At 40.4% G+C, this 20,983-nt stretch overlaps 1 protein-coding gene and 1 pseudogene across 4 annotated transcripts in view; both read right to left on the reverse strand.

Moving 5' to 3' along the window:
- Positions 1-20,983, reverse strand: part of ALDH1A2 (aldehyde dehydrogenase 1 family member A2) — a 112,283-nt gene that overhangs the window by 13,117 nt on the left and 78,183 nt on the right. The gene's annotated exons all lie outside the window — the stretch shown is intronic.
- Positions 12,974-14,138, reverse strand: LOC100418848 (calponin 2 pseudogene; annotated as a pseudogene).

Here is a 20,983-nt window from a genome sequence, read left to right on the forward strand (position 1 = left end):
TGCTGTTGGGAGACAGCCTGCAGCTGTCACCTCCTTCAGGGTCCACCTCAGCTGAAAAGAGCTCCCTTGCCCAAGGAGAAGCCCTCTTCCAAGTGGCCCATATCCACCCACTGGTGGTGGCAGGGTTTGTATAAAGGTCCTACCCTTTCAGCCCAGCACAGGACTGGGCTCTGAGGGACGGTATATACTCCATGATGACCCAAGTGACTGGCAGAGGCTGTGTCAGGCCTGTGTTGCAGTTCCACTTCCCCAGGGCCACTCCCCTTCAGCAGGGATCCCTAGTAAAATCCTGCAAGCTAAACTCCAACTCCGTGAATGCTCCCTGGGAACCTAACCTACAACAGGATGCGACTCCACTGGAGAGCACATATCACTTTATGGAAAATGCAGAGCAGAGCCGCCATATAGTCCATAGAGGCAATTTGGTCTTGTTGAGATGAAAAAATGTTATTTGTTCCTGAAATTTTCCTGAAAATTAAATATTTTAAAAGCGGGGGAAGAGAAACGCTACATTCACTTTCAACTCCTGCAGTCCCTTGTTGAGATCCTCCAGTGGGACTAACGACTTCGCAGGCAGCGGAGAACCCCAGCTAGGAGAAAAGGCTCTGGAGCCAGACTGCCTGGATTTTTTTTTTTTTTTTTTAACCAGTTCTGTCACTTCGTAACTGTTTGAGCCTAGGAAATTTATTTACTATCTGAGCCTTGGATCCTCCTCTGTAGGGGGGGATAAAAATACTATGTACTTCAGAATTATATTTTGAGGATTAAGTGGTGTACCATATATGACACTTAGAACCCAGCCTGGCACACAGTAAGTGTGCAGACATGCTAACCATGAGCAAGTGTGAGAAGCTGGGGCCTCCCTTTTCTTCCACGTTCAATGGACAGAAATGGGGGTGATGTAAAGGAGACAGCTGGACCTTCCAAAGCAGGTCTCCCGTAGATCTCCCAAACTGCCTGTGCTGTTAACTCCTTCAGAAAAACACCGGGGAAACTCCAACTTCCCCTCAGTCTCCAATATCACTCATTAACTGTAACTCTGCCTCCTCCTAAAAAAGATTTTGAAAATGTATCCCCATCCTGAGAAAAGCTAACCTTAGGGGGAAAAAGTGATGTCTCTCAAAGATGCAGAACTAGAGTTTCTTGATTTGCTGAAAACATGACTTACCAAGGTGTTGGAAAATGCTAACACCTGGCCCTGAAGTTTGATGGGTGAGCTGTGGCCAACCTGCCAGACTGCCCTTCCCCCGCCCTTGCCATTTTGTGTCTCTTCCACTTCCACGCAAAGGCCTCAGGAAGACCTGGTCTCAGTAAAGGCCCTGTTCTCACACAGACATGGTCCTCTGAGAAGAAAACAGGCAAACACAAAGGGAAGGAGAATCTGGCCCTCTCTTCTGGGAATGCTGAAAATTATGACTGGTAAGGGGGAACTCACACCGAAGGGCAACTGGGGAAACAGCAATCCTCTGACTTACTGCCAGCACTCAGGGAGGGGTGTTCCCTGAGGATGCTGTCATCTGTGACTGTCTGCTCTTCTGAGAATGTCATTGTGCTTGCTCGCTCCACTCTGGGGGAATCCAAATTAACTGATGTGGACTCATTTTAAAGTCAAGGAAGATAAACAGGTAACTGCTTTCTCAACAAGACAATTACTGGAATTCACAAACATATTATTCATTAAATTAAACCAGTATTTATTGAGTAGTCTATGTTAGATACTTACAAGCATTATGTCATTTAAGCCTCTCAAAAAACCCTACACAGTAGGTTTTATCTCATTTTAGAGATGAGCTAAATGAGTTAGAAGTTAGTGAATGTCACCAGGCTCCCCAGCTGGTTCATGACAGAACCTGTTGGACTATCTGCAGGCTGATGCCAGAGCCCAGGCCTGGGATTACTCCCTCTCCTTCTCCCTTCCTTCCTCCCAGCATTCTGTCATTTTTCTGTTCTCTTTTCTACATTTACTGAGCACTAATGTGTGCCACATACCATCAAAATCTTATCCCTGCACTCCAAGCTGATTTCAAAGTAGGTAGGAATATCACCTCTTCTAGACAAAAATAATGTTCATAAATCATCAGTTACAAAACTTAGATTCTGCCTTCAGGATTATATTCAAGAAACAAGCAAAAGCCAGGAAAAATCATGAGTTTTACACATAGTAAGATGCTGAGTAAATATTTGGGGTTGGCAGACACTGCTGGCCCAGCTGGCATTACATTTCTGTTAGCCCTACTCCCTGATATTCATCAGACCATTCTAGAGGTTGATATTTTTTTGCCACTAGAAATGTCGGCCAGTGATTATTTTCATGGCTATGGTAACTATACAAAAGTAAAAGTTTCAGTCTATGATCATCAGAGAAGAATACCTAAGAATAATTTTCCTTGCATCAATGCTTTACCAGCCTTTCCTTAGAAAACAAATTTGTGCGCTGCACCCACTAACTCGGTAAACACCACAAGGCAAATCTCAGATGAATGATACCTTTCCCCTTCATCTTTGGAAGAAAGTCGAGTTATAGTTCAAGAAAGAACGGGATGTGTTAGGCTATGGGAGAACCACTTCCATCTGGAGTGGCCTCAGGACAGGACACTCCTAAACAGCCCTGGTTTTCACCAATGTCCTTCATTCAACACATATTCATAGTTCTCCTACTATGTGCCAGGTACACTGTTGGGCATAGTCCCTTACCAATAAGGAATTCACAGCTAAAAGGACTCCCATGTAAACCTAGTAGATGTTCAATAAATGTGGCTTTGCAGTCCACTAGAAAAAAAAATCTGGGTCTCATTTAATATTAGATCTGAACAGATTAAATTACAGTTCCTCAGTACTTTGTTATAACCCACAGGTTTCCGAAGTCAAAGCCTGTGGGATTAGAAAGTATAAGAATGAACGAATTACGCATACAACAAAGGCCTAGGATTGACCAATCTTTCTAAAATGGAAAAGTTTAAGTGTGGTTCCTCAGGGATACTGTCCCTCCTGACATGACCAGAAGGTGGGAGTGCACGGCAAGATAAAGGAGGCTGCAAGGGTGCACACGTTTTCCAAGTGGTTAAAAGTCAAGTTAATAGAGCTGTACTTGATGATACCAAGTCCTATTCTGATGAAATTGGTAATTTGTAAGATAAAACAGGTAAACATACAGTTTGAGAAATTAAATCCTGTATATGATGTAATATAGATTAAATAGGATAAAGGCACAGAGATCAAATTTTTAGTTCGCCATCACCTTTTCTTCCAAGCAGAAAAGATTTTACAACGTACTCGTGTGATACCTCCTGCCCCATTGCTGACAACCTGGCTAATTATAACCATATTTAGGCTTATGGACGACAGTTTGGCCCACAGGAGTCAGAAGACCTGGTACTACAAACTCTGGCTTCTAATGAATCTTCAATTTGGGAAAGCCACTTCTCCTCCTGGGTCTCAGCTTCTGCATCTGTAGAATGAAGGCACAGGCCAAGCAACAAATCTCTCCCTTAGTACTCCAGTTAATTGAAGGAGTTAAAAAAGACAGACAGGACTCCTGGGGACCCTGCTCATTCTGAGAGTCTGTTCACAATTCTTGTGTTTTTCTTGCCTTATGAAGCAGAAGTAGCTTGTTACAAGTAGAACACCACAGCTGCACTGAATGATGGAAAAACCTCATCTTTTTTTAGTTTCCCTGCCCAGAGCTCCTTATGAAAGAGTAAGTGATAGTGTTCCTATCATGCAGTTCCTTAACTTTGCACTCCCTGCAGAGCCTCTCAGCTCTGTGTACCCCAAACATGCAAGGGCAGTGAACTGGGGGCTCCTCCACACATAATGAAACTGGGCTAATTCTCAGCAGGAATGCTGGCACAGTTCAACTCTGACTCCCATCCTCGTTTGAATAGGCCTCAAGATTGATATCAGGAGTATCCCTGGAAGAGCCACAGTGTACTGGAATCATGTTCACAGCAATGCGGCAATGTAGGGGAAAGCAATTTGGGGCTTTGCAAGAAAAATAATTTGTTATACAGGACAAAAAGGAACACAAAAGGCTTTTCATGCCCTCTTTATTCAGGGCAGTTGCTCCCTGAACACAGTTTCTAAAGTTGGGTAAAATTTTTTTTTATTAATTACTCAGGTGAGTTCCTACTCAGAGCTATTTTATTACACATATCAAGGTAGATTTTTCTCAGCGATATAACACCTTTTTAAAAATGGAAAAATCTCTACTAGAGATCCCAGTAAACTAGTTAAAGATGCCTGTGTCTTGTAATATCTTTTCATAAATCCCAAACAGATTTACTCTCTGCTTCTTCCCTCTTCTCCTTTCTTAATTTTCATTGTTATGCTTCCTGGTTCCAACTGTGTTGGGAATAGAAATGCCAAAAATATGGGGATTGGGTGTTTGTCTTTCTGAAGTACCCAGAAATAACAGGCCAAATTAATCTGTCCAGATTTGCACCAGAAACAAACAGGACCAAGGCATCTAAGCAGTTCCTTTAAGTGGTAACAGCAGTTTAAACCTTTATCTGTGAAATTCAGATTATGAAGGCCAGTATAACCACTATGTTTCCAGCCTTCTGTCCCACCATTCCCACCACCACTCACCCACGACTCTAGGCACACAAAACCACTTGCCCTTTCTGGAACATGCCTGTGTGTCTTTGCATAAGCTGCTCCATCTACCTGCAGTGCCTTTTCACCCCTTGCTTACTTGATAAACTCATTTTTACAGAGATAACTCTTTCACCTCCTCTGAGAAGGTAGCTTTCCTTCCCTACCCTCCCTACAGGGTTTGGTGTTCCTTCTCTGATCTCACAGTGCTATGTACGTAACTCTCACATTGTGCTTGTTTAATAGCTGTCTCCCCGACTACAATGACTGACTTTTAAAAAAATATGCATATGTACACAGATTTTAAGACAGGGTCTCACTCTCTTGCCAAGGTTGAACTGTAGTAGTATGATTATGGCTCACTGCATCCTTGAAATTCTGAGTTCAAGCAATCCTCCCAACTCAGCCTGAGTAGCTGGGACTACAGGCACTTGCCATCATGCCTGGCTAATTAAAAAAAAAAATTGGTACAGACAGGGTCTCACTATGTTGACCAGGTGGTCTCAAACTCTTGGCCTCAAGGGGTCCTCCTGCCTAGGCCTTGAAAGCACTGGGATGACAGGCCTGAGCCACCAGGGCCCAGACAAACTTTCAATAATTTGTTAAGTCAATAAGCCAGAATACGAAAATTGCTTGAGAGCAGTGGTGTGATCACGGCTCACTGCATCCTTCAACTCCTTGGCCCAAGCAATCCCGCCATTCAGCCCCTTGAATAACTGGGGCTACAGGTGCACACTACCAAGCCTGGCTAATTTATTTTTTATTTTTTTTTGCAAAGACTGGGGCTTGCCATCTTGCCCAGGCTGGTTTTGAACTCCTGGGCTCACACGATCTTCTGGTCTTGATCTCCCAAAGTGCTAGAATTATGGGCGTGAGCCATCGTGTCCAGCTAATGTTATTGTTGATTGAGCACCTATTCTGTCTACTTGTTTTCACAAACATTATTTTATTTAATCTTCATGACAAAACTGGGAGGCAGGAATTATTATTCTATTTTATAATTGGAAAAAAAGACAAGACAAGACTCACAGAGGTCAAGAAATGACTTGCAAACAGGCACCCACTGAGTGGCAGAGCCAGGACTGGTCTCAGAATGTGCACACCAAGCCTCAGGCTCTTCTCCCTCCTCTTCTCCAGACCTTCTCCTGGGAATTGGTTCCCCTTTGCTGTGAGTAGCATTTTGACAGTTAAATGCATCATCTACCACTAACATGTTCAACTGCCTTGTACACTTAGCCATCCTTTTGTTACATAAGACTCTATTTCAGGTAAGCTTTAAAAATCAAGGTTTTGATTGTCTTGGTCTGCTTTGATAGGAAAAAGCATGGAGTAGTCAAGCCAAAAGTACTCTATGTCCCATTAACTAGGTGAGCTAAAGGGATCAACACCTTAGGACCTGCTCAAACTCAGCCTGAGTTTTGGGGAGAAAGCTAACTGCAGAATCTTTGACTTAGCATAGTTAGAGAATAAATCATGGAATCTCATCCAGCAGGCAGAGACTATACCATACTTATTCTTCAGTCTTCAAGTTTTAAGAATTTTTTAAAAAGAGAAGTTTTATGCTAATAGTTTAAAACCTACACAACCAAAGGTTTTTCCACATGAAACTGGTTTTTTCAATATTTTCATGACATTCAAACTGGTATTTTTAAATAAAATACTGAATGATTCACGAATGGACTCACACAACCTTAGAAAAAGGCCTATTAGCTGTTTATAGCTAAAACTGTAGCAAGCCACCTCCCCTAACCTAAAATGAGGGGTGAAGCTAACTAGGAGAGAGCTGACCTGATTCATGACTCAAGCAGTAGAGATGGTGCTTGTATCATGCAACATGACATTTATCTCACTTAGGAAATAAAAGAACCCCAGCTGCGTAAATTAGAATGAGTGATAATACAGCTGTTAGCTACAAACATTTGTTTGGCACGAATCAATCTGGACTCTGCTGTAGTTTGCTTTGATGGTCTCTCCACTATCTTGCTGCTAATGATGAGATCATTGTTTGTTAACCTGAGTAAAGAAAACACTATACCAAGCAAAATGCATATTGTTTTCCTGTACTTTATTGAAGTTGTTTATTGACTTGTGTTTATAAGAGCTCTTTTATATTTATTAAATATTTACATGCACTGCTTATGTATTTAGCTGCATAAGGAGAAATTAATCCCATCTTTAATCTGAGTAAAGTTGTTGGCTTTCTAAAGGCCTTTTGCTTTAGTAAAATGGAAAGCAGCCACCTCAAATAAGCTTCTTCTTGTTAACTGTTCCAGACACTTTGTAATGTACCAATAGGTCCCATCTCCCTAAGGTAATCACAGCAGAAGCCATGTTCTAATCCATATTTAAGTGACATGTTCACTCTGGAAGAATCTATACAACTTCTCAGGTAGCCTGCAAAGTTAGAATAAATGGATAAAGAAGTAAATAACTACAGCTGAAAAGGGGTTTGGGGATTATGTGATCGTTTGATTTGCCTGTGAAAATTCTCCATCCACCACTACTAATATGGAAATTACAAATTGGCTTTTATATTCTAGACAAATGCCGCTCTCCCTTAAGTCCTTTAGTGTCTGCCAATAATGTCATTCCAGAGAAGAAACTAAGAGATAACCTAGAAGTCACGGGATTAGTTCCCCTCCAAATGAATGTAAGCCTCTCTACAGAGAGAGAAGAATCAAATGTAGATTCTGTTAGAAAGTTTAGCTGAAAACTTGCTCTATTCACACTGTAATAGGCTACTTAATATTTTAACTATTCCTAAAAGCAAAACAATTCAAAGACCCACCTTCCACCCTATTCTCTTTCCCAAATTCTCCCTTCTCTCTCTCTCTCTCAGTTCCCTATTGAATATCTCAGTATTGGAAGATTGCATAGGTAGTTGTTAATGTTTTATTTGTGAAGATAAAAAAATTCCTGTTGTTATAAAGCTATAATAGTCAAAATAATGTGATACTTGCGATGCAACAGTCACACAGATTACTGAAACAGAACAGAGAGTACAGAAATAGACCCATATAGGGCCGGGCGCAGTGGCTCATGCCTGTAACTTTGGGAGGCCAAGGCTGGTGGATCACGTGGTCAGGAGATCAAGACCATCCTGGCTAACATGGTGAAACCCCATCTCTACTAAAAATACAAAACATTAGCTGGGCAAGGTGGCGGGCGCCTGTAGTTCCAGCTACTTGGGAGGCTGAGGCAGGAGAATGGCATAAACCCGGGAGGCAGAGCTTGCAGTGAGCCAAGATCGCGCCACTGCACTCCAGCCTGGGTGACAGAGCGAGACTCCATCTCAAAAAAAAAAAAAAAAAAAAAGAAAGAAATAGACCCATATAAATATGGAAAATTTATGCTTGAAAAAAGCAAGCATCACAAAGGCAATTCAGTGGAGGCAGGGTAGTCTTTTCAAGAAATGGTGCAGGAACTATTGTCATTATCCATCTATCTAGCACTTGGATCCTTACCTCTCAACATACACAAAAGTTGAAGTAGATCATAGGCCTAAATGTAAAACACAAAACTATAAAATTTCTAGAAAAAAAGCATATGAGAAAGTCTTTGTGATCTTATGTTAGGCAAAGATTTCTTAGATACCATACCAAAAGCCTGATCTATAAAAGAAAATGTTAATAAACTGGACATCAAAATTAAAAACTTTAAGAGACACTGGGAGAAATTATTTGCAAAGCACAAAGGACTTTTATCCAGAATATACTAACAATTTTCATAATTCAACAATGAGGAAAACAAACAACGCTTGTCTCCAAAGTGTGCAAAGATTTAAAGATACTTCACCAGAGAAGATATGCTGTGGCAAATACACAAATGAAAAGACACTCAATGGTAGAGAATTGGAAATTAAAACCACATTGAGACAATGCTATATACCTATTTGAATGGCTAAAATGTAAAAGACTAACCACATCAAATGTTGGTGGGGATGTAAAGGAGTTCAAAGTCTTAAACATTGCTGGTAGGAATGTAAGATGGTATAACCGATTTGGAAAACAGTTTGGCAGTTTCCTGCCCTACCACACAATCCAGCCATTCCATTCCTAGGTATTTACCTAAGAGAAAAGGACATACATGTCCATACAAATATTTGTACATGAATGTTCATAGAAGCTTTTATTAGTCCCAAACTGAAAACAATCCAAATGTTCATCAGTGGCTGAATGGATAAACAAACATACAACAAATGGATAAATCCAAATGTTCATCATTGGCTGAATGGCTATTAAACCTGATACAGGTTGAACATCCCTTATCAAAATGTGTAGAACCAGAAGTGTTTTGGATTTGGGATATTTTTTCAGATTTTGGAATATTTGCATTATACTTACCAGTTGAGCACCCCGATCTGGAAATCCAAAATCCAAAATGCTCCAATGAGCCTTTCCTTTGAGCATGATGTTGGTGCTCAAAATGTTTCAAGTTTTGGGGGCATTCCAGATTTCAGATTTTTTGAATTCAGAATAGTTAAACTATATACCCATAAATGGACTACTACTTGGCAATAAAAAAGAACGAATTGATATGCACGACATAGACAGATCTCAAAATAACTGTGCTGAGTAAAAACAGCTAGACAAAAGAGTATATACTATATGTTGCCATTTATATAAAATTCTAGAAAATGCAGATAATCTATAGTGCCAGAAAGCCTGGGAATGTGGGGGTGGGGGTGGAGAGAGAGATAAGACAGAGAGATTACAAAGGGGCACTAGGAAACATGTGAGGGTGAGGGACATATTCATTGTGAACTCTACTGATGGTTTCACAGGTAGATGGATACACATGGCCAAGACTTATCAAATTGTACACTTTAAATAAGTGAAATCTATTGTATATCAATTATACTACAATAAAGCTGTTAATAAAGGTACATTAAACAAAAATATTACTTCATTACAGAAATTATGCCATATATCTCTTTGTTGTCCTTTGCAGACTACTGGCAGTAGTTGGTCTTTGCACAACTACTGAAAAACAAAGGAAACTACGTAACATTTTTCTGCAAAGAAATTTCTCCCTACACCAGAATTCCATTCTGGCAAACTCAGTTTGAAGGAGTGGCCACCACTCTAGGCCACAGCAAGAAATCATGAGTGAGTTCCTTAATAGGTACCAGGCATCTTCTTCCAGCACTGTATTTTTTAAAATTATACTTTGAATTCTGGGATACATGTGCAGAAAGTGGAGGTTTTTTACATGTGCCATGGTGGTTTGCTGCACCCATCAACCCATCATCTACATTAGCTATTTCTCCTAATGTTATCCCTCCCCTAGCCCGACAGGCCCCGGTGTGTGATGTTCCCCTCCCTGTGTCCATGCATCCTCATTGTTCAACTCTCACTTATGAATGAGAACATATGGTGTTTGGTTTTCTGTTTGTGTTAGTTTGCTGAGAATGATGGTTTCCAGCTTCATCCAGGTCCCTGTAAAGGACATGAACTCATCCTTTTTTATGGCTGCATGGTATTCCATGGTGTATATGTGCCACATTTTCTTTATCCAGTCTATCATCGATGGGCATCTGGGTTGGTTCCAAGTCCTTGCTATTGTGAATAGTGCTGCAATAAACATACAAGTGCATGTGTCTTTATGGAAGAATGACTTATAATCCTTTGGGTATATACCCAGTAATGCGATTGTTGGGTCAAATGGTATTTCTAGTTCTAGATCCTTGAGGAATTGCCACCATCTTCCACAATGGTTGAACTAATTTATACTCCCATCAACAGTGTAAAAGCATTCCTATTTCTCCAAATCCTCTCCAGCATCTGTTGTTTCCTGACTTTTTAATGATCGCCATTCTAACTGGTGTGAGATGGTATCTCACTGTGGTTTTGATTTGCATTTCTCTAGTGACCAGTAATGATGAGCTTTTTTTCATGTTTAACGGCCACGTCTTCTTTTGCGAAGTGTGTGTTCATATCCTTTGCCCACTTTTCGATGTTTTTTTTTTTTTCTTGTAAACTTGTTTAAGTTCCTTGTAGAGTCTGGATATTAGCCCTTTGTCAGATGAGTAGATTGCAAAAACTTTGTCCCACTCTGTAGGTTGCCTGTTCACTCTGATGATAGTTTCTTTTGCTGTGCACAAGCGGTTTAGTTTAATTAGATCCCGTTTGTCAATTTTGGCCATTGCCTTTGGTGTTCTAGTCATGAAGTCCTTGCCCATGCCTATGTCCTGAATGGTATTGCCTAGGTTTTTGTCTAGGATTTTTATGGTTTTAGTTCTTACGTTTAAGTCTTTAATCCATCTTTAGTTAATTTTTGTATAAGGTGTAAGTAAGGGGTCCAGTTACTGTTTTCTGGATATGGCTAGCCAGTTTTCCCAATTGCTTGGATTTTGTTAGGTTTGTCAAAGATCAGATGGTTGTAGATGTATGGTGTTATTTCTGAGGCCTCTGTTCTGTTCCATTGGTCTATGTATATCTGTGTTTGTACCAGTACCATGCTGTTTTTGTTACTGTAACCTTGTAGTAAAGTTTGAAGTTGGGTAGCATGATGCCTCCAGCTTTGTTCTTTTTGCTTAGGACTGTCTTGGCTATACAGGGTCTTTTTTGATTCCATATGAAATTTAAAGTCGTTTTTTCTAATTCTATGAAGAAAGTCAATGGTAGCTTGATCGGGATAGCATTGAATTTATAAATTACTTTGGGCAGTATGGCCATTTTTGTGATACCATGAGTATGGAATGTTTTTCCATTTATTGTGTCCTCTCATTTCCTTGAGGAGTGGTTTATAGTTCTCCTTGAAGAGGTCCTTCCAATCTCTTCTAAGTTTTATTCCTGAGTATTTTATTCTCTTTATAGTCATTGTGAATGGGAGTTCACTCATGACTTGGTTGTTTGTCTATTATTGGTGTATAGGAATACTTGTGATTTTTGCAATTGATTGTGTATCCTGAGACTTTACTCAAGTTGCTTATCAGCTTAAGGAGATTTTGGGCTGAGACTATGGGGTTTTCTAAATATACAATCATGTCATCTGCAAACAGAGACAATTTGACTTCCTCTCTTCCTAATTGAATACCCTTTATTTCTTTCTTTTGCCTGATTGCCCTGACCAGAACTTCCAATACTATGCTGAATAGGAGTGGTGAGAGAGGGCATCCTTTTCTTGTGCCAGTTTTCAAAGGGAATGCTTCCAGCTTTTGTCCATTCAGTACGATGTTGCCTGTGGGTTTGTCTTAAATAGCTCTAATTGAGATATGGTCCATCAATACCTAGTTTATTGGATTTTTAGCATGAAGGGGTATTGAATTTTATTGAAGGACTTTTCTGTATCTGCTGAGATAATCATGTGGTTTTTGTCATTGGTTCCGTTTGTGATATATTACATTTATTGATCTGCATATGTTGAACCAGCCTTGCATAGCAGGGATAAAGCCGACTGGATTGTGGTGGATAAGATTTTTTTTTTCCTTACAGACAGAGGTTTTATTGTGTTTGGTCCACAGTCATATTTCACATTATCTCATGGAGCAGGGCCCCTGGGTGGGGGGTCCCTGTGCAGTACTTGGAGGGGCATGTGGCCGGGGGAGATGGAGCAGTATAGCTGGTCAGGCCCAGAAGGGGAGAAGGGCTGGGGCTCCTTAAGACCTACTAAGGGGCCGGGCACGGTGGCTCACGCCTGTAATCTCAGCACTTAGGGAGGCCAAGGTGCGTGGATTACCTGAGGCCAGGAGTTTGAGACCAGCCTGGCTAACATGGTGAAACCTCGTCTCTACTAAAAATACAAAAGTAGCCAAGCATGGTGGCACATGTCTGTAATCCCAGATACTTGGGGGGCTGAGGCAGGAGAATCCCTTGAGCTCAGGAGGTGGAGGTGCAGTGAGCCAAGATCATGCCACTGCACTCCAGACTGGGCAACAACTACTAAGAAAAAAACCCTACTGAGGCCACGGTGGTGGTGTGGGGAGTTGGGGGGATTAGGCCCAACCACTCAGCATCCACTTCCTTGTACAGGCCTCACTTTCCCCACTGGGCCCTGAGGCAGGTCTGAGGTCTGTTGGCCTGAGGGTCCTAGGGAAATCCAGCCACTTGGGAGCCTGAGATATTTAGCATCATAGACAGGCCCCCTTTCCCAGGGGACTCATTTCCCAGCACCCTCTCCACTGTCCCCACCCCATTCCTCAGGAAAAAAAAATGTATTTTTCTTTTGTTAATGCATCCTGAAACTTTTGCGGGTATAGAAACCACAAACTGATCGGCTGACAAAAGTGGGAAGAGGCAAGGCAACTGGAAACCTCCGGGTACTGGTTCCCTCCAAGCCCAGGTCTCTTCTCCCCGGCACAGCTCTGCTGGCAGCCTGGACGTGCCAGCAGGGACCCTCACCATACACATATTGGGATATGGCCTTGACCCCTTCTCCTCCACAGCCTGGTGGCTCATTCCTGCGAAGGACCAAGGCAAGGGGGAAGAAAGCCCTGCTGCCTGATTCCACGTTGCCACTCACAGACCCTCGGTTGATTGGCAGCACTGAACAGGTTAAGAAAAAAAAGATGAAAACACAGAAAAACCCAAAAACCCAGAAAGGGAGATAATGTGGGGAGAGAGTGTGCTGGGAGCCTCAGTAGCCAGCCTCCTCCTGGTAGTAAGGGGGATATTCAGGGACCTCTCCTGGGCCCAGGCAGTTGCCAGCACCCAAGGGAGCCCCGTCAGCCACTGTGCCTGGCAGGCAGTACTTGGGGTCACATATATGCTGGCCCAGGCCAAAGACCTGGCTACTATGGTTGGTACCCTGGGTGTAGCCCATCTGCAGGGACATGGAGGAATTACCACACTTGTCGGTTCCCAGCTTGGTGTCACAGATGTGCTGCCGCGTCCCAGGAGCTGTCATGCTCACCTGGCTGGCACAGTTATTTGTACCCATCTGGAGGCCAATGATCGAGTGGTCCATGGGGGGGCAGGATGTGATTCTTGGGGTCACACAGATGCCTCTTCACGCCATACACGGTCATGCCCAACTGGCTGGTACATTTGTTGGTGCCCATTTGCAGCCCGATGACGCACTGGCCAGCCTTCATGGCGGCGTCACTGAAGTTCTGCTCCTGCTTCTCTGAGTATTTGATGCCAATGTCCACCCCGCTCTGCGGCCTCTTAGTCTTGACCTTCCCTGCTAGGGCAAAAAGAGACACCTGCATGTGCCTCATGTTCCCACTCTCAAACAGGTTGTTGGCCTTGAACAGGTCCATGGGGTTCATGTCATAGCTGACTACAGCCTTGATGAAGTTGGAGAGGTTTTCCAGCTGGTGCCACTTCTGCATGGAGTGGTTGATCTTGGGGAATGAGGCCGGCTGCAGCTTGTTCATGAGTATGCATAAGATAATCCCGTCCTTCAGGCTCTTCTGGAAGTCAGGCTCAATGGAGATGCAGGTGAGTCCCTTGATCCAGCTGTGAAGCTCTGCCTCCTTCTGGGGGTCATATTTGGGCAGGAGCCAGTTCTTGACCTCGGCTGACAGCCCATACTAGACGCCTTTGTTGAACTGCGTGGAACTCATGGCTGGCAGGCTGCGGGATGGGGCCACACGGGACAGGGGTGGATAAGCTTTTTGATGTGCTGCTGGATTGTTCATCAGGGATATTGGCCTGAAATTTTCTGTTTTTGTTGTGTCTCTGCCAGGTTTTGGTATCAGGATGATGCTGGCCTCATAAAATGAGTTAGGGAGGAGTCCCTCTTTTTCTATTGTTTGGAATTGTTTCAGAAGGAATGGTACCACCTCTTCTTTGTACCTCTGATAGAATTCAGCTGTGAATCCGTCTGGTCCTGGGCTTTTCTTTTTGGTGGGTAGGCTATTAATTATTGCCTCAATTTCAGAGCCTATTGTTGGTCTGTTCAGGGATTCAACTTCTTCCTGGTTTAGTCTTACAGTATTCTCTGATGGTAGTTTGTATTTCTGTGGGATCCGTGGTGATAACCCCTTTATCGTTTCTTATTGTGTCTATTTGATTCTTTTCTCTTTTTCTCTTTATTAGTCTGGCTAGTGGTCTATCTTGTTTATCTTTTCAAAAAACCAGCTCCTGGGTTCCTGCACTGTATTCTAAATCTAGTACACTATTTTACCAAAAAAGAAAAAGGATTCATCATCATTTTATCCAAGCAAGCACGAAGGCAGTCTTCCAAGAAGTGAAATAGAAGAGCAAACACACACACACACACACACACACACACACACACACACAGACACACACAAACACTGACTGGTAGCCAAAAATATTTGTAAAATATTTACAAAAGCTACAAAATAAACGAAAGGAGAGTAAAGCTGCCAGAGGAGAGCAGAATGTAGTTATTGACAAATATATTATTTGCAAATGGAAGTTTCAGATTCACCTAATAGTTACTGAATTCTTACTATATGCCAAGCAATATGCTTGGAACTTTCAAATACATTATTTCAATCTTCAAATGAGCCTGTAAGGAGTGATTCATAGGCCTTACTAATGGAAGAAGACATGAAATAACAGACTAAACAATTCGCCAAAAGTCACACAGCAGGAAAGCTGGAATTTGATCCATGATTTGTGGATCAAATCCAGTGCCTCATCTATTATACCACACTTCCCCAAGCATTAATTGTCCCATAAACTTCATTTTAAAAATAAATAGAAAACAATGACAGTTAATATTTACTGACACTTTACTAAGAATTAGATCCAGTGCTAAACACTCTAGATATACTAGCTTTTCTTAGTCCATTCAGTTTAGCTATAATGTCCCAGACTGGATACCTAATAGAGAAAGGAAATTCATTTCTTACAGTTCGAGAGGCTGGGAAGTCCAAGGTTGAGAGACCCACATGTGGTGAACGACTTCCTGTGGTGTCATCCCATGGTGAAAGATGGAAGAGCAAGAGACGACAAGACAGCACGAGATTCAATGTGCAATCTCAAGCCCTTTTATAATGGCATTAATCTATTAATGTGGGTTAACAGATTAGTACCCACCTGAACACCCCTCACTAGTGCCCATCTCTCAACACTATTGCATTGTAGATTAAATAACAAACACACTCTTTCTGGGGAACACATTCAAATCATCTTTCATCCTCACAATCCATGAGGTAGGTACAATCATCTCTAATCTACAGCTGGGATATCTGAGGCCTGGAAAGATTAAATAATAACATGTAATGTGAATGAATCCACTCAAGTATAATAGATGTTTAAGTTGTCTAGTTTTCTGATATGACTGACATATTTAATCTTGATTCCTTTAGTATGATTTGAAGACTATGTTCAAAACTTACTGAAAAAGTGATGATTTCCTTTAGTTGGTTTAGAGAGACGCAAACTATAGAGTTGTGATATACTATTCTGTCAAACTTTCATTTTAAGAAAGCACTGAGGAGTACTTTGTTTTCTTTTAAGAGACTCTAAGTAAAGGATGAAGAGAAATTAACTCAGGCTGAACTACATTAATGCTGTAAAAATCCTAAAGTAACGTTAAACTTTATGGGTTGGTCTTTGTTGATAATTAGCTTAATCAGATTGATCATTTACTGTTCAGCTTGGGAATTATCTTTGCTTATGACAAGCCATCTGCATAGTTTTGTAGATGGACATTACTTGCCCTCAATGTGGTTAAGAATAATATAATCTGAAGTGTAAAAAGATGATTCATGGGAAATCACTGTTGAGGAAAGCCTAGTATTTTCTCCAGCTTTTACACACTTTGGTACCCCCTGACTATTAACTACTCTCACTAGAACACTGAGGCTACATGTTTAGCAGTCACTGAGCATGTCATGTTCAGTGTTGGCTCACCTACCAAGAGTTAACGACCCTAGGAAATCAGACACACACTACCCTTCTCAACATGTCCCATCTGGTATGATTTAGGTTCTTAGGGATGTGTTGTTTGTTTTTATTTTCCCATCTCTATAAGGTTTTTCACATCCTATTAAAGAGACTTCTAAGGATAGACACTGAATTCAAAAAAAATCTGCAGCTCTGGTGTTTAAATGACTGTTAAAAGTACAACTGCAGGAATGACAACAAAACTGCATTCGCTATTGAAAGGAAACAGTGAAACCTAATATCCCATCCTACCTTCCAGCAAAATATGTATCGAGCTTTTACAAAGTGCTGATTCTTTAATATCTGGCATAGGAAATGATGTTGAGAATAAATGATACCACTATTTGTTGATTATCTGCCAATATCAAATAACACATTGTGAGTCCCTGAGGACTCACGAGGGTCCTCACAGCTAGCATTCCTTTCCTCGAATTTCTTTTTGTATTTTGGTTCCCATAAAACTACAGTTCCATTTTCTCCAAAGAGATTAATGTTAAGAGAAAAGGAAGACAGCCTTAAATTCTTGCCAGTTGTGACTATTAACAACTGTGGAATTAAGATGGAGAATTATCTTTTTCTTAAAATACTTTTATCTTTGAATAAAGTAGCTTTTCATTCAAATGTAAATATCTTCAACTGATGACACTTCTCCTAGATACAGATACATTTGAAAATTATATTAAATGACAGAACTTTAGTTTTGTCCTTGATCTTATCATCTTGAAAATCATGACATTTTTAGGTAATGATGCAGAGAATTCTCTTCTCTCCATGCTCCCATAACACACCACACTCTAATAGTTACATATTCACAGATTATCTCTTGGGCTAGACTGAATCACATAAAACACCACCTTTGCCTCTCCAAGATCTATAAGTGCTTGATAAATGTTTGTGGAATTGACTGGAAACAACTTAAGTTTTAAATTTTCATGTCCTATATCAGACAGTGTCAAATGGAAACCCTGTATTGTAACAAATGGAATTTAAAGAGGCTAAAGATGCAATTTTGAAGTGAATTTTAGGAAAAAACGGAGTTACAATGTGTCTATGACCTAAGCATGCTGCACTGAGAAATTATCCTTCCTAAGTACCTCCATTAATATGTCATTCCGAATTTTAATGGCTCTCCCCTATGGGAGGGTGTATAGTCCCTTAGCCTGGGAGGCAGTGTACCACTGTAATATGGAATATAGGCCCTGGGTGTGACTCTCAGCCCTACAACTAACTAGCATGTAACCCTGGGCAGGTAATGTAACCCCTCTTAGCCACACTTTGCTCAATGCTGTAGGGTTGCTGTAATAATGTATTCAAAGCATTTAGCAGGTACTTGACACAAAGTAAGTGCTAAATCAATGTTGGCTATTAATATCCAAAATGTAAAGCCTTTAATACTTTGTAAAATTAATTGATTTTTCACAGCTTGAGATATAACTCATATACCATAAAATCCACTCTTTTGATGTGTACAATTCAGTGGATTTTAGTATATTAACAGAGTTGTGCATCCATCACAACCATTACTTCTATCTGAGGACATAAATACCCCAAAAAGATACTTCATATTCCATCAGCAGTCACTTTCCATTCTCCCAGTCCTTTGCAACCACTAATCAACTTTCTGTTTATAGATTTGCCTATTCTGGATATTTCATACAGTCACATGATACAGTCTTTTGTAACTGGATTCTTTCATTTGGTATAGTGTTTTCAAGGCTCATTCAGGCTGCAGCATGTATAAATACCTCACTCCTTTTTATGGGTGAACAGTATTCCATTGTATGGATAGACCACTTTTTGTTAATCCGCTTATCATTTAATGGACATTTGAGTTGTTTCCACTTTTTGGCAATTAGGAATAATACTGCTGTGAACATTTTTGTACATGTTTCTGTGTGGTATTAGATTTTGTCACGTTTCTTCTGTGATGATCACCTGGTTTTTGTCCTTTATTCCATTACTATGGAGTATTACATTGATTTTTTTACATATATAAAACCAATCTTGCATTCCTGGGATAAATCCCACTTGGTCATGGTATATAATCATTTTTATATATTTCTGGATTTTGTTTGCTACTATTTTGTCGAGGATTTTTCCATCTATACTCATAAGATGTTGGTATATAGTTTTCTTGTGATATCTTTGTCTGTGGTATCTTCTACATGTTGGCCACAATTTTTTGACCCAGAATTATTTCCAATGCCTTGATGTGCATATTATTTCCCAGTTCATCTGACTCCCAACGTTTCTCCCCAGTCCCTTCCCAATTCCGTTATTCCACTAAGACTTTGTGTTCTCCTGCTTCGAGTTGTTGACTAACACTGCCCTTTCTTCCCAATTCACTCTACTTATCTATATCCTACAGACCCTCAAATCCCTCTTTCTCTTGAAACCTTGATAGACCACCCAACCCCTAGAGCTCTCTCCCTTCTTGAGATGCTGATGTCATATTACAAACTAACATTTGCTTACTGCTTAAAATTTCCCAAACTCATATTGCATTTAATTCCCATGACCCTGAGAAACAGGTATGTATGCTATTATTAAACCAATTTTGTACAAAACCAAGTGGCTGGTCCATAATTATATAGCTATGAAGTAAAAAATAGTAAACCCTATGCTTATGGTGGCATTTTAAAGCAGGGGAGGGTTCTACTGATACCTCACCTTCTAGCTCTGAGATTAAGTTTTTATTTACCAAATTCAGTCTTTCCTCCTTCATGTAGCAACAAATATTTACTATGTATGTTTACTATACATAAGATACTATTTGAGGTACTGAGAAGGCCTAAGGGATAGACTCCAAAGAGAATGTCCTCCCCACAAATCTTCATATATGACCAGAAACTGCCATCTTTTGAAAGTAAAACTTATAAAAATCAAGACTAAACTGATAAGCAAATCAGCTCAAAGATGAAAAAGGAGTTACTTATGAGAGTAAAGTACTGCTTAAATATTCAATATTAATTAATTAAATCAAGGGCTTTTCCAAATCCAGTATGTCCTTATGGTTGTATTCCTAATACTTTGGTTTGACCAACTGAAGTAAATAAAATAGTAACCTCATTAACTGTAAAGGTGATCTGCATGAAACCTAAAGAAAATCAAACAATATCAAAATTAATCAAAAGGTGCCAGAGAGACTTCTGCTTCTAATTGTAATGGAGTAACCGACACTGGACTTGTTTTACCATTATAAACAACTAGAAAAGTATATGAAATTGTTTTATTCAAACATTGGATATCAGGCAGTATGGGACTATGAATCTAGAGAAAAGGAAATCCTTTTGTGCCTAAACTTTCTAGATTGCAGTATGGTATGAGGAGACCAAAGCAGAATATGATGGTCTGAATTCTGACCAGACAGATAAGAAAGATCTTGTTGAACACTGGGGACATTCAACAGAAACCTCAGAAGGATTTCAGCTTATTAATAAGAATAAACTAGTCTTAACAAAGCTTAAAGGTAAGTTCCAAAAGAGACAAGCTGAACCTCAAGTAACTTAACTACCTTTTAGGAAAAAAAAAGTTTGACATTCTTTAAAGAAAAACAACAAAATCTCTAAGTTCAGCAATATAATGGTCACAATGTCCAGTATCCTTTCAAAATTAACAGAAAAGCCAAAAAAAAAAAAAAAAAAAAAAGGACCCATAAACAGGAAAAACTCCAGTCAAATTCAGAGACGACAGAGAAGTTAAAAGTAACAGACAAGGATTTCATTATTATATTATTATTATTATTAGATGGAGTCTCACTCCCGTCGCCCAGGCTGGAGTGCGGTGGTGTGATCTTGGCTCACTGCAACCTCTGCCTCCTGGGTTCAAGGAATTCTCCTGCCTCAACCTCCTGAGTAGCTGAGACTACAGGTGTGCAACACCACGCCTGGCTAGAGATAGAGTTTCACTATGTTGGCCGGGTTGGTCTCGGATTCCTGACCTCAGGTGATCCACCTGCCTCAGCCTCCCAGAGTACTAGGATTCCAGGTGTGGGCCACCACGCCCGGCCACAGACAAGGATTGTAAAATAGATGTCTACACAAATTTAAAGGAATAAAGGGGTGTAGCGAGGAAGAAAATATAAGATATTTAAAAAATCATGGAATTTCTAGAACTTAACAAAATCTCTGAAGCAGATTAAGCATTACAGAAGAATATACGAACGTCAAAGATGACAATGAAAGTTACCTAGCCGGAAGCACAAAGGAAAAAAATGCTGGAAATAAAAGAGTCCCAGTGACCCATGGGATAATGACAAATGACCTAACATATCTGTAAACAGAAGGCGGAAGTAGAAAGCAAAAAAAAAAGATTTGAAAAAATAATGGTCAAAATGTTTCCCAGTTTGATGAAAACTATAAACTCACAGATATACAGAAATTTTAACGAACCAACAAAATACACAAAAGTACATCACAATCAAATTGCTGAAAACTGACAAAAAGAAACTCTCTCAAAAGCAGTCTGGGGGAAAAGAAACATTACTTACCGTAAAATAAAGATAACAATGATTGCTGTATCTCATCAGAAACAGTAAAGTCAGAAACATGCCAGAATGATATCTTTGAAGTCTTGAAAGTAAA

This window comes from Homo sapiens, chromosome 15 (assembly GCF_000001405.40).
Source record: "Homo sapiens chromosome 15, GRCh38.p14 Primary Assembly".
In the NCBI taxonomy this organism is placed as follows: domain Eukaryota; kingdom Metazoa; phylum Chordata; class Mammalia; order Primates; family Hominidae; genus Homo; species Homo sapiens.